General features: G+C 40.8%; 1 annotated feature.

The window, feature by feature from the left end:
* Positions 11,583-12,110: an enhancer, noted in NCBI's record as "H3K27ac-H3K4me1 hESC enhancer chr8:132783439-132783966 (GRCh37/hg19 assembly coordinates)". NCBI's record gives its function as "activates a minimal SCP1, AML or CMV promoter by ChIP-STARR-seq in naive and primed H9 embryonic stem cells {active_cell/tissue: H9 hESC(naive and primed)}" and the evidence as "EXISTENCE:reporter gene assay evidence [ECO:0000049][PMID:30033119]".

Genomic DNA, 15,116 nt, shown 5'->3' with positions numbered 1-15,116 from the left:
TCATGGAACAATGAATCTAACATCATGTCCTCATGAGAGCAGAGAGTTGCAATTTCCATGACTAGCAAGAACAATGTAAATGCTTTATTTTGTGACATATGTTCAGAAGCTTTCAGAAGTTACCTGTTCTTGTGAAATTTCTACCATTAAAAATCCACCCCATTGAAGACCCAGGTCCATTATGCAGCTGGGCACTCATAAATGGTAGACCTTGGGAAGGTAACTCTACCTGACTTGACTTCAACTTCCTTATCTGCACATGAGGAAGATGAATGAGTGTCCCTAAGGTCTGTTCTAGCTCTGAACTTCATATAGCTTAATAATTCCATCAACACACAGAAGTTGTTTAGATAAATAGAGTTTGCCATGGGACATTGCCTGAGTCAGCAGGTCTGGTGTGGACAACTCAGGTTGAGGGATCCTGCACAGATGGGGACAGGCAGCGCTGAAACAATGAGTTCCAAGGTTTTGCTGCTGGAGCAAGAAGTACAAATAGGAGAATGCAATAAATTTATGCTTCTTTACAACAGGACATCCAGGTTCTCTGATAGACTTATTGCTGGCCTAGTAACTAATTAAGTATCTGATCCATAGTGGCTATGCAATGAATGTTTGTTAAACTGAATACTACTGAACCTATCCATCACTTTAGCCAAACCAAATGACTCATGATTCCCAGAGCACAGTATTTATATGATTTTTGTGCTCCATTCCCTGTGATTCTGGTTGGTGTTCTTGGCAACCAAAAATCTTTAAAGCTATCCTAAGTCAAGGGTCGGGGGATATTAGGAGGATAGCAAGCTCATGAATGTCAAAGGCAGAAAGCAACATACATTTGACCACATGGTCTTGGGAACTGAAAAGGTAGACACAGATATTTCTGCCTCTCTCCAGGATCACATGTTTCCACATTTTTGTATCTCTGCATTCCGCCCCCACCCCCAACCCCAGCATTCTCCAACTTCTCTTTTTGTGCATCTTTCTCTGCCAACTCATTAGTATGCCAGTGGCTAACTGTCCAGTGCCAAGCGTATGTTACCTGTTAGTTTTTGCATTTTCCACATTCTGATTCAATTTCAGAGTCTTTTAGTCAAAATTTTCAAGAGGATATCAATTGATTGCACTCAGCCTATTGGGTTAGGCATGGGTCTATGGATTTCAGACACTTTTGCTCATAGGGCCAGATTTACGCAGTCATATGATTTCCCCTTCTAGGGGCTATGAGGATGAGACCACAAGCTAGAAGGAAAAATTGAGTGCAGCAGGCAGATTGACCCATAATGTTCTTGGCAGATAACTTTGCTCATTTTATTCCTTCTGTCTGGAAGTTCCATCCTCTCATCTCTGATCAGTGAGCTCTTATTCGCCCTTCAAAGTCCATTGCAAATAATATGCCCCTTTAAAGTTTTACCTGATCTCTGTAGATAAAATTATTCATTATTTCCTGGCTAATCCCATACTTTCGTCATGCTCTAGTGAAATATTTATCCATTTATTCATTAATGCATCACATGCATGTGTATTGAACACTATACACAGAGCACTGTGCTAGATAAGGAGGTTATATGTTGGCCTCAGTCTTAGTGATGGAAAATGAATGAATCAATAGAAGTAACACACTTAGAGCAGTGCCTCTTCCGAATAGAAAACCCTCAATAGTTTTTTTTGTATTTTTGATACCTTATAGCATAGCAGTTAAAATCATAGGCTCTGAGGCCAGAATGCCTGTTTCTGCTACTTGTATGTAACTTTGAACAAGTGAATTCTCCTTTAATGCCTCAATTTACTCATTTGTAAAATGGTCAAAAAGAATAAGTGAATTTAATAGCCAAGATAGGAAAACAATCCAAATGTTCACTAATGGATGAATGGATAAAGAAAATGTGGTATATGTTGAAAGAAATCATAGATAACACAAACAAATGGAAAAGCATCCCATATTAATACATTGGAAGAGTCAATATCATTAAAATGACCATACTGCCTAAAGGAATCTACACATTCAATCCAATTTCTATCAAAATTCCAATGTCATTTGTCACAGAATTAGAAAATAGAATCCAAAACCTTGGATGGAACAAAAAAAGAGCCTGAATGTCCAAAGCAACCCTAAGCAAAGAGACCAAAGCTCTAAGCATCCCATCACCTGACTTCAAATTATACCACAAGGCTATAGTAATCAAAACAGCAGGGTACTTTTATAAAAATAGATACATAGATCAATGGAACAGAATAGAGAAACCAGAAATACACCTACATACCTACAGCCAACTGATCTTTGACAAATTTGACAAAAACAAACACTGGCAAAAGGACACCCCATTCAATAAATGGTGCTGAGAAAATTGGATTGCCATATGCAGAAGAATAAAGCTGGACTCCTATCTCTTGCCATATACAAAAATTAACTCAAGATGGATTTAAGACTTAATCCATACATTTGTATGACCTGAAACTATAAAAATAGTGGAAGGAACTCTAGGAAAAATTCTTTTGGATACATTGGCCTAGGCAAAGAATTCATTACTAAGACCTCAAAGGCAAATGCAACAAAACAAAAATAGACAAATGGGACTTAACTAAACTAAAAAGCTTCTGCATAGCAAATGGACAACTTGCAGGATAGGTGAAAATATTTGAAACTATGCATCTGACAAGGGACTTACATCTAGCATCTACAAGAAATTCAGAGATCTCAACAACAATACAAATAACCGCATCAAAAGTGGGCAAAGAACATGAACAAAACTTTTTCAAAAGAAGACATACAAATGGTGAACAAGCATATTTAAAAAATGGTCAACATCATTAATCATCAGAGAAATGCAAATTAAAATCACAGTGGGAAAATATCATCTTATAGCAGTCAGGATGGCTGTTACTAAAAAGTGAAAAAAATTACAGATATTGGCAAGGATACATGGTTGGTGGGAAGGTAAGTTAGTATGCCTCTATGGCACAACCTCTATGGAAAACAATATGGGGATTTCTCAAAAAAACAAAAATAGAATTCCCGTTCAATCCAGCAATCTCACTACTGGGTATCTTCCCAAAGGGGAAGAAATCATTATAGCAAAATATACCCGCACTTGTATGTTTATAGCAACACTATTCACAATAGTAAAGATATGGAATCAATCTGTGTCCATCAAGAGATGATTAGATAAATGGAGTATGATACACACACAATGGAGTACAACTCAGCCATGGAATGAATGAAATTATGTCTTTTACAGCAACGTGGATGAAACCGAAGCCATTAACTTACGTGAAATAAGTCAAACAGAAAGCCAAATACCTCATATTCTCACTTATAAGTGGCAGCTAAATAGTGTGCACACATAGAAATAGAGTGTGGACTGACAGACATTGAGGACTCAAAAGGGAAGGCAGGTGGGAGGAGGGTGAGGAATGAGCAGTTACTTAAAGGGTACAATGTGCAGGTGATAGTTACACTAAGAGCCCACATTTCACCACCACGATTATATCCAGGTAACAAAATTGCACTTGTAACCGCTAAATTTATGCAAATAAAAAAGTTAGAAAAAGAAAATATGGTTTATACCTATAATGGAATACGATGCAGGCTTTGAAAAGAAGGCAATCCTGCCACATGCTAACAACAGGGATGAACCTTAAGGACATTACGCAAAGTAAAATAAACTAGTCACAAAAGAACAGATACCATAGGATCCCACTCATATGGAGTACCCAAAGTAGTCAAAATAATAGCAACAGAAGTAGAGAGGTGTTTGTCAAGGACTGAGAGGGAGGAATAGAAATTAGTGCTTAATGAATATAGAGTTCAGTTTTGCAAGATGAAAAGTGCCAGAGATCTGTTGTACAACGATGAGAATATACTTAAATACTATTGAACTGTACATTAAACATTGTTAAGATGATAAATGTAATGTTATGTGTTTTTACCATAATAAGTGTTTAAAGAAAAAAAAAGATAATTGCTACAAAAAGCCTGAGCTACTGAAGCTATTTGGCAATAAACTTCCAAATGCTTCTTCCCCCCAAAAAAAGAAAAAAAGGGGAAGAGAGAATTGATTTGTGCCATGTTGTTTAGGACAACTTCTGACATATGGCAAACATTGAAAAACTAGTGACAGCTATACATATAATTAAATATATAATGTGATGCATGATAGTATGGAGGTGAGGTCAGAGATGGCATGGTGGAAAACCATAGTGGCACAGTGAGCTAATTCCAGGACGACCCTGGCTCTGTGGGTGTAGATGATTTAAACAGTTAAAAAGTGTAACTACTCTGCTTTGAGAACCTGCTATGGGTGAGGTGGACGTGTTTCCTGATCCTCTCAGCCAGCATTCAAAGGAGGCATTTCCTGTCAGACTGTACAGTTCTTGAGGAAGGGATCTCTATGTTGTTCAGCATTTTGCATTTAATGTTGTTCCCAATAAGAATAAAATCTGTTAAATGAGTAAATTTTATAAATGGAGTAACTGTGGTTCAGAAAGGCTAAAGGCTTCCTCCCTGCTGAATGCAGAGTCAGAGTCAAAACTAGCTCTGTCCAGCTGCAAACTCCATAATGTTCTAATCCACTGTGTGGCCTCCAGGGGAGCCTGACAAACCTCTACAATGACTGGGTGAGTGGGCAATTCTTCCATTCCAGAAATAAACTGCATTTGAATGGGGCATTCCTAAACTAAGTTCTCTGCATTATGACAGCTGAGAGGGGAAAAAAGCTTGGATGGGTTAATTAATTGGAATTTGGAAAAGGGAGAAGATTAAATAATGATGACACAATAATACAGTGACATAATAAAATATCTGGCACTTACTAAGTACTTAAGTCAAGTAAAATAAAGCTGAGTAAAACAGCTGGCACTTACTATAGTACTATAAGTACTATATGGCAGGCACTGTGTTGAGCCATTCATATGCACTATCTTATTTAATCTGCATTTTATCTTGGTGAAGTTGGGTTTTTGAATTGGAGGAAAATGAAGCTTAGAGAGTTTAAGAAGCTCACTAAGTTTGCCCAGCTTGTATGTAGCAGAATCAGGAAGTGAATCCAGGCAGTATGACTCCAGTTCCATGCTTTGAACAATGCCAGAAAACCCAGTGAATGATCCTAAGGCATGGGTCCCATGACTGGGTCAACTACTATAGGCAGGAATTTAGCATAATGGTTACTAGAGTATGGAACTGACAGTCCTTGGTTCAAGCCTGGCTGCACTACCTAGTGGCTCTGAACCCTGGCATGTTGCTTCGCATCTCTAGGCTCCTATATCTTGACTTGCAAATTGAAGTTAATGCCAATGACAGAGTGTTGCAAAGAAAAGCACGACTGTGAGTTCAGCATATGGTCAGTAGTAGGACCATGGTTTCTGGAGCAGGTGGGTTTCTACTGTGGGAGAGGAAACAAAGACAGCAGGAGTGAGAAAGGGCAAGCAATGGACCCCTAAAACGACCTGGCACGGAGTTATTGGACTTAGGGAATTTCAAGATTGAGGGGATCTTAGCGGTCAGATGAGGGAATATTGAAGTCTTGGCACATTCCTTTCATCCTCTGCAAGAGAGCTTTTCTTTTTGTCACATAAATGATGAAATAGCAGCGCCTGCACCTCAAGAAGATATGTAGGAGTTTTGTTTTTAAACACCCCTCGCTGCAGGGGTGAGAGCTTGTCACATTTTTATTACTGCCAGGTTTAGCCCCCTTGCTAGTGCTGACACATGAATCACTGTGCTGGTCCTGGGAACACCACGGTACTCCGACTGCCAAAGCAGATTAATGGAGGCAACGCGACAATCCTGCCTTGTTTTTTTTCCTAAGGAAGCCACAACATTGCCAGCAAATGGGGACAGCTGGGATGCTGGAGGGTGTTTCCATTTATGTGGGAAGCTGAGGAAAGACCTGCACCTTCTGAGTCTAATAACAAGCCCGGTGCTCCCTTCTGAGATGAGATTAATGCTTGCACATGTGTGTGGCTTGCCTCTACCAGCAAGAGCAAATGTTCACAGAGCACCTCTATGAACCAGGTGCAGGGCTAGGTATTACATTGTGCCCTGACAGTGATGCTGTGAATTACGCACTAATGTTCCCATTTTATAGACAAAATAAGCAGTGCCTCAGAGATATTAAACGCACTTACTGAGGTCACACTGCTGTCAGTGAGCAGCAGGAATTAAAACCAAGTCTACTTGTCTTCAAAGAACTAGACCTTCACCTACCGCAGGCTGCCCTTCGAATTGCTAATTAATCCTTTCCACGTACATTTCTGCATGTAACCTTCATCACAGCAGTGTGAGGTAGCTATTGTAAAGGAAAATGAGGCTCATAAAGGTTAACCACATTATTCAAAGCTTTATTTGACTCTTTATCTCTTTATCTTAGATTTATTAACTCTTTTTTTTTTATACTTTAAGTTTTAGGGTACATGTGCACATTGTGCAGGTTAGTTACATATGTATACATGTGCCATGCTGGTGCGCTGCACCCACTAACTCGTCATCTAGCATTAGGTATATCTCCCAATGCTATCCCTCCCCCCTCCCCCCACCCCACCACAGTCCCCAGAGTGTGATATTCCCCTTCCTGTGTCCATGTGATCTCATTGTTCAATTCCCACCTATGAGTGAGAATATGCGGTGTTTGGTTTTTCGTTCTTGCGATAGTTTACTGAGAATGATGATTTCCAATTTCATCCATGTCCCTACAAAGGACATGAACTCATCATTTTTTATGGCTGCATAGTATTCCATGGTGTATATGTGCCACATTTTCTTAATCCAGTCTATCATTGTTGGACATTTGGGTTGGTTCCAAGTCTTTGCTATTGTGAATAATGCTGCAATAAACATAAGTGTGCATGTGTCTTTATAGCAGCATGATTTATAGTCCTTTGGGTATATACCCAGTAATGGGATGGCTGGGTCAAATGGTATTTCTAGTTCCAGATCCCTGAGGAATCGCCACACTGACTTCCACAATGGTTGAACTAGTTTACAGTCCCACCAACAGTGTAAAAGTGTTCCTATTTCTCCACATCCTCTCCAGCACCTGTTGTTTCCTGACTTTTTAATGATTGCCATTCTAACTGGTGTGAGATGGTATCTCATAGTGGTTTTGATTTGCATTTCTCTGATGGCCAGTGATGATGAGCATTTTTTCACGTGTTTTTTGGCTGCATAAATGTCTTCTTTTGAGAAGTGTCTGTTCATGTCCTTCGCCCACTTGTTGATGGGGTTGTTTGTTTTTTTCTTGTAAATTTGTTGGAGTTCATTGTAGATTCTGGATATTAGCCCTTTGTCAGATGAGTAGGTTGCGAAAATTGTCTCCCATTTTGTAGGTTGCCTGTTCACTCTGATGGTAGTTTCTTTTGCTGTGCAGAAGCTCTTTAGTTTAATTAGATCCCATTTGTCAATTTTGTCTTTTGTTGCCATTGCTTTTGGTGTTTTGGACATGAAGTCCTTGCCCATGCCTATGTCCTGAATGGTAATGCCTAGGTTTTCTTCTAGGGTTTTTATGGTTTTAGGTCTAATGTTTAAATCTTTAATCCATCTTGAATTGATTTTTGTATAAGGTGTAAGGAAGGGATCCAGTTTCAGCTTTCTACATATGGCTAGCCAGTTTTCCCAGCACCATTTAGTAAATAGGGAATCCTTTCCCCATTGCTTGTTTTTCTCAGGTTTTCCAAAGATCAGAGAGTTGTAGATATGCGGCATTATTTCTGAGGGCTCTGTTCTGTTCCATTGATCTATATCTCTGTTTTGGTACCAGTACCATGCTGTTTTGGTTACTGTAGCCTTGTAGTATAGTTTGAAGTCAGGTAGCATGATGCCTCCAGCTTTGTTCTTTTGGCTTAGGATTGACTTGGCGATGCAGGCTCTTTTTTGGTTCCATATGAACTTTAAAGTAGTTTTTTCCAATTCTGTGAAGAAAGTCATTGGTAGCTTGATGGGGATGGCATTGAATCTGTAAATTACCTTGGGCAGTATGGCCATTTTCACGATATTGATTCTTCCTACCCATGAGCATGGAATGTTCTTCCATTTGTTTGTATCCTCTTTTATTTCATTGAGCAGTGGTTTGTAGTTCTCCTTGAAGAGGTCCTTCATGTCCCTTGTAAGTTGGATTCCTAGGTATTTTATTCTCTTTGAAGCAATTGTGAATGGGAGTTCACTCATGATTTGGCTCTCTGTTTGTCTGTTGTTGGTGTATAAGAATGCTTGTGATTTTTGTACATTGATTTTGTATCCTGAGACTTTGCTGAAGTTGCTTATCAGCTTAAGGAGATTTTGGGCTGAGAAAATGGGGTTTTCTAGATATACAATCATGTCATCTGCAAACAGGGACAATTTGACTTCCTCTTTTCCTAATTGAATACCCTTTATTTCCTTCTCCTGCCTAATTGCCCTGGCCAGAACTTCCAACACTATGTTGAATAGGAGTGGTGAGAGAGGGCATCCCTGTTTTGTGCCAGTTTTCAAAGGGAATGCTTCCAGTTTTTGCCCATTCAGTATGATATTGGCTGTGGGTTTGTCATAGATAGCTCTTATTATTTTGAAATACGTCCCATCAATACCTAATTTATTGAGAGTTTTTAGCATGAAGGGTTGTTGAATTTTGTCAAAGGCTTTTTCTGCATCTATTGAGATAATCATGTGGTTTTTGTCGTTGGTTCTGTTTATATGCTGGATTACATTTATTGATTTGCATATATTGAACCAGCCTTGCATCCCAGGGATGAAGGCCACTTGATCATGGTGGATAAGCTTTTTGATGTGCTGCTGGATTTGGTTTGCCAGTATTTTATTGAGGATTTTTGCATCAATGTTCATCAAGGATATTGGTCTAAAATTCTCTTTTTTGGTTGTGTCTCTGCCCGGCTTTGGTATCAGAATGATGCTGGCCTCATAAAATGAGTTAGGGAGGATTCCCTCTTTTTCTACTGATTGGAATACTTTCAGAAGGAATGGTACCAGTTCCTCCTTGTACCTCTTGTAGAATTCGGCTATGAATCCATCTGGTCCTGGACTCTTTTTGGTTGGTAAGCTATTGATTATTGCCACAATTTCAGCTCCTGTTATTGGTCTATTAAGAGATTCAACTTCTTCCTGGTTTAGTCTTGGGAGAGTGTATGTGTCGAGGAATTTATCCATTTCTTCTAGATTTTCTAATTTATTTGCGTAGAGGTGTTTGTAGTATTCTCCGATGGTAGTTTGTATTTCTGTGGGATCGGTGGTGATATCCCCTTTATCATTTTTTATTGTGTCTATTTGATTCTTCTCTCTTTTTTTCTTTATTAGTCTTGCTAGCAGTCTATCAATTTTGTTGATCCTTTCAAAAAACCAGCTCCTGGATTCATTGATTTTTTGAAGGGTTTTTTGTGTCTCTATTTCCTTGAGTTCTGCTCTGATTTTAGTTATTTCTTGCCTTCTGCTAGCTTTTGAATGTGTTTGCTCTTGCTTTTCTAGTTCTTTTAATTGTGATGTTAGGGTGTCAATTTTGGATCTTTCCTGCTTTCTCTTGTGGGCATTTAGTGCTATAAATTTCCCTCTACACACTGCTTTGAATGCGTCCCAGAGATTCTGGTATGTTGTGTCTTTGTTCTCGTTGGTTTCAAAGAACATCTTTATTTCTGCCTTCATTTCGTTATGTACCCAGTAGTCATTCAGGAGCAGGTTGTTCAGCTTCCATGTAGTTGAGCGGCTTTGAGTGAGATTCTTAATCCTGAGTTCTAGTTTGATTGCACTGTGGTCTGAGAGATAGTTTGTTATAATTTCTGTTCTTTTACATTTGCTGAGGAGAGCTTTACTTCCAAGTATGTGGTCAATTTTGGAATAGGTGTGGTGTGGTGCTGAAAAAAATGTATATTCTGTTGATTTGGGGTGGAGAGTTCTGTAGATGTCTATTAGGTCCGCTTGGTGCAGAGCTGAGTTCAATTCCTGGGTATCCTTGTTGATTTTCTGTCTCGTTGATCTGTCTAATGTTGACAGTGGGGTGTTAAAGTCTCCCATTATTATTGTGTGGGAGTCTAAGTCTCTTTGTAGGTCACTCAGGACTTGCTTTATGAATCTGGGTGCTCCTGTATTGGGTGCATATATATTTAGGATAGTTAGCTCTTCTTGTTGAATTGATCCCTTTACCATTATGTAATGGCCTTTGTCTCTTTTGATCTTTGTTGGTTTAAAGTCTGTTTTATCAGAGACTAGGATTGCAACACCTGCCGTTTTTTGTTTTCCATTTGCTTGGTAGATCTTCCTCCATCCTTTTATTTTGAGCCTATGTGTGTCTCTGCACGTGAGATGGGTTTCCTGGATACAGCACACTGATGGGTCTTGACTCTTTATCCAATTTGCCAGTCTGTGTCTTTTAATTGGAGAATTTAGTCCATTTACATTTAAAGTTAATATTGTTATGTGTGAATTTGATCCTGTCATTATGATGTTAGCTGGTGATTTTGCTCGTTAGTTAATGCAGTTTCTTCCTAGTCTCGATGGTCTTTACATTTTGGCATGATTTTGCAGCGGCTGCTACTGGTTGTTCCTTTCCATGTTTAGCGCTTCCTTCAGGAGCTCTTTTAGGGGAGGTCTGGTGTTGACAAAATCTCTCAGCATTTGCTTGTCTGTAAAGTATTTTATTTCTCCTTCACTTATGAAGCTTAGCTTGGCTGGATATGAAATTCTGGGTTGAAAATTCTTTTCTTTAAGAATGTTGAATATTGGCCCCCACTCTCTTCTGGCTTGTAGGGTTTCTGCCGAGAGATCTGCTGTTAGTCTGATGGGCTTCCCTTTGAGGGTAACCCGACCTTTCTCTCTGGCTGCCCTTAACATTTTTTCCTTCATTTCAACTTTGGTGAATCTGACAATTATGTGTCTTGGAGTTGCTCTTCTCGAGGAGTATCTTTGTGGCGTTCTCTGTATTTCCTGAATCTGAACGTTGGCCTGCCTTGCTAGATTGGGGAAGTTCTCCTGGATAATATCCTGCAGAGTGTTTTCCAACTTGGTTCCATTCTCCCCATCACTTTCAGGTACACCAATCAGACGTAGATTTGGTCTTTTCACATAGTCCCATATTTCTTGGAGGCTTTGCTCATTTCTTCTTATTCTTTTTTCTCTAAACTTCCCTTCTCGCTTCATTTCATTCATTTCATCTTCCATTGCTGATACCCTTTCTTCCAGCTGATCACATCGGCTCCTGAGGCTTCTGCATTCTTCACGTAGTTCTCGAGCCTTGGTTTTCAGCTCCATCAGCTCCTTTAAGCACTTCTCTGTATTGGTTATTCTAGTTATACATTCTTCTAAATTTTTTTCAAAGTTTTCAACTTCTTTGCCTTTGGTTTGAATGTCCTCCCATAGCTCAGAGTAATTTGATTGTCTGAAGCCTTCTTCTCTCAGCTCGTCAAAGTCATTCTCCATCCAGCTTTGTTCTGTTGCTGGTGAGGAGCTGCATTCCTTTGGAGGAGGAGAGGCGCTCTGATTTTTAGAGCTTCCAGTTTTTCTGTTCTGTTTTTTCCCCATCTTTGTGGTTTTATCTACTTTTGGTCTTTGATGATGGTGATGTACAGATGGGTTTTTGGTGAGGATGTCCTTTCTGTTTGTTAGTTTTCCTTCTAACAGACAGGACCCTCAGCTGCTGGTCTGTTGGAATACCCTGCCGTGTGAGGTGTCAGTGTACCCCTGCTGGGGGGTGCCTCCCAGTTAGGCTGCTCGGGGGTCAGGGATCAGGGACCCACTTGAGGAGGCAGTCTGCCCGTTCTCAGATCTCCAGCTGCATGCTGGGAGAACCACTACTCCCTTCAAAGCTGTCAGACAGGGACATTTAAGTCTGCAGAGGTTACTGCTGTCTTTTTGTTTGTCTGTGCCCTGCCCCCAGAGGTGGAGGCTACAGAGGCAGGCAGGCCTCCTTGAGCTGTGGTGGGCTCCACCCAGTTCGAGCTTCCTGGCTGCTTTGTTTACATAAGCAAGCCTGGGCAATGGCGGGCGCCCCTCCCCCAGCCTCGCTGCCGCCTTGCAGTTTGATCTCAGACTGCTGTGCTAGCAATCAGCGAGATTCCGTGGGCGTAGGACCCTCCGAGCCAGGTGTGGGATATAGTCTCGTGGTGCGCCGTTTTTTAAGGTGGTCTGAAAAGCGCAATACTCGGGTGGGAGTGACCCGATTTTCCAGGTGCGTCCGTCACCCCTTTCTTTGACTCGGAAAGGGAACTCCCTGACCCCTTGTGCTTCCCAGGTGAGGCAATGCCTCGCCCTGCTTCGGCTCGCTCACCGTGTGCACACCCACTGGCCTGCGCCCACTGTCTGGCACTCCCTAGTGAGATGAACCCGGTACCTCAGATGGAAATGCAGAAATCACCCGTCTTCTGCGTCGGTCACGCTGGGCTATTAACTCTTTATCTTAGATTTAATAAACACCACTGTGCCCCATTGTATCGGGTTCTGGGTGACAATCTTCATGAGATGTACATGCTCTTGCCTTCATGGAGCTTACGTCCTGTTGAGGGAGCTACATAAATACTATCACCCAGGAAACAGTTATGTTGTAAGAAATAACATAAGGAAAATACAAGGGTTTTGAGATTAGAATGAAGGAGATGTTCTAGAAAGACTCCTTGAAGAAGTGACATGTAAACTGAGGCACAGTTAGGAGGAGAGAAGCAAGTGCCATGGACCCATTGTTTGCATCACCTCCCAAATTCACATGAAGCTCTAATCCCCAAAGCAGTGGTATTTAGAGGCGAGGCCTTTGGGAGGTAACTAGATTTAGATGAGGTCGTGATTGTGGGGGCCTCACGATGGGCTTGGTATTCTTACAGGAAGAGGACAAGAGACCTGGGCTCCCTCTCTTTCCACCGTATCGAGGACACAGCAAGAAGGCAACCATCTGTAAGCCAGGAAGTGGACCCTCACCAGGAACCAAAGCTGCCTATACCTTGATCTTGAACTTTGAAGACTCCAACACTGTGAGAAATAAGTATCTGCTGTTTAAGGCTCCCAGTCTTTGATATTTTTTTATGGCAGCCTGAGGTGACTACGATAGCAGGACTTGAATCTAGTCCAGGAAAGCCACAGGGCTCTGTTTCCTCTCTCATGCTGCATTCTTCCTGCAATGAAAGTAAGTTATTAGCAATGCAGTTTTCCACAGTTACTCCGATGTTTTGCCTGGGCCTGTTCAGACCTTTCAGGACTCAGTTAAGAACAAATCCAGGGATCGTTATTTGCTTTCGCTGGAGAGCAAGCAATAGACATGTAGCCATTAACTGAAATGGTTTTGGACATTAGGTCAATTTCTGGGGGAAATGGAATCGGGATGAACTGGCACCTTTGAGTGTATGTGATGTTCACTTCTTTTTCACGGTTCTCGATACAATTTCACCAGTAAAAATTGTTCCTCAGTGTGGAACCTGCTATTGCCAGATAAATGAAACCCCTTTGGCCTTGGGATGTTAGGAGAGAGAGACAGAGAGAGAGAGAGGCATGAAGACACTTTTCTAGTGTGAATGGTGTTTTATAGGCTCAAAGCATGTGAGAGCTGGAAAGGACTTCAGATTCAGCTAAGTCCACCCCCTCATCTAATATGTGAGGAAACTGAGGCCCAGAGGGAGGAAATGCCCAGCTCCAGGGCAGAGCTAGGAACACAGAAAGCAAGGGTCATGGACCGAATGTTTGTGTCATCTCTCAAATTCATATGTTGAAGCCCTGATCCCCATTGCAGTGGTAAGTCTGGTGATAAACCTGGGAAGATAACACTGATCCATCCTTCATGAAAACAGAGATGTCTCCAGGTATTTCACATGTAAAGTAGCTTAAAACAGAGAATTAGTCACATATAAAGTGACTGAAAGTACTGGAGGAGCAAAGGTCAGGAAAAGCTGCTGACACTCAGTTTTAATCACAGCTATCAAATAATTTGAAACTGTAGGAAACTGTCACCAATGATTATATCTGCTTGCAGCAATAAAGCAAGTGATCTGTAGGAGAAAGGAGATTTCTGTAAAATCTCTCATGTGCTAACATCTGTGCATATATTTGACTGACAAAGAGAAACAATAATATGGCTCCTGTCTCTCACCTTTTCCAGCATCTACTGGCAAAATCTATAGCATAACTCTGGTGACAAAGAATTCTGGGAAATGTAGCTCCCAGGCTTCCAGCCCCTTGTGAAATAGAGAATAAAAAGGAGTAGAAATGGTGCTAAACTGGTAACAGAATTTCTAACACAACAGTTCTACTAAATTCTTTCCACCCTTTCTTCCATCACTCTGTATTTCGTTTCCTCTTTTCTTCCTTTCCAGAATATTTGGTGAGGGACTCAGGGGACTGTTGTCTGTTTGTGCTGAGGCCTGGCTGGTGTAGAATGATAGAGATTTGCCTTGAACAACAGCATGCATTTGATGGGGGGAAAGGCCTTTCCAGATATTTGCAAACAAGCAAAATCTTTTTTAAAAGAAATCTGGACATGTTTGTGTGTCACTAGAAAGAGCCAAACACCTAGCAGTGGATCAAGACCCAGACTGCAGGTGCGGACAGATCTGAAATCTAGGTCTGGTTTTGCTCTTCACTACCTAGCAGACCCTGAGCATCTGACATAATCTACGTCTTACTAATAGGAATAACAAGAGTTATTAATCTCATAGGATTCTTCTGAGAATTGCACGAAATAATATATATTGCATTATATTTAGCACATAGTGAAAATTTTGTAGTGGTCCTGATATTATTATGCTTATTTTAAATCATTATTGATAATAACTAATGTTGAGAGTTCAAAAATTAGGGCTCAGTTTTGCAGATATCAGAATTCAGTCTAGGTTCTCTAAGCAGATATGAATCAAATGCTATTTACTAAATGGCTTTTGGGATCAATAGAGAGGCTGAGGAAGCTGCCTCTTGGTTGAACTCTCAGGACTACCTCAGAGAACTTGGTCACCCAGGAGCCACTGCCTCATTTTTGACCTGAAAACCTCCTGATGAATTGAGAAGCTGGTGCTCCACCTGCAGGGTCTGCACTTGCTCTTCCATAAATAGGAAGCCAGAAAGACAAGGAAGGCATCTATTAAATCAGGAAACTGTCCGTACGGATACGGGCTTGAGGCCTATGCCACCCATGTATGGTCAAGAAGCAACTGGAAAAAAAAATCAGACC

This window comes from Homo sapiens, chromosome 8, assembly GCF_000001405.40.
Source record: "Homo sapiens chromosome 8, GRCh38.p14 Primary Assembly".
Taxonomy (NCBI): domain Eukaryota; kingdom Metazoa; phylum Chordata; class Mammalia; order Primates; family Hominidae; genus Homo; species Homo sapiens.
This window is presented reverse-complemented; position numbering and strand designations above follow the sequence as displayed.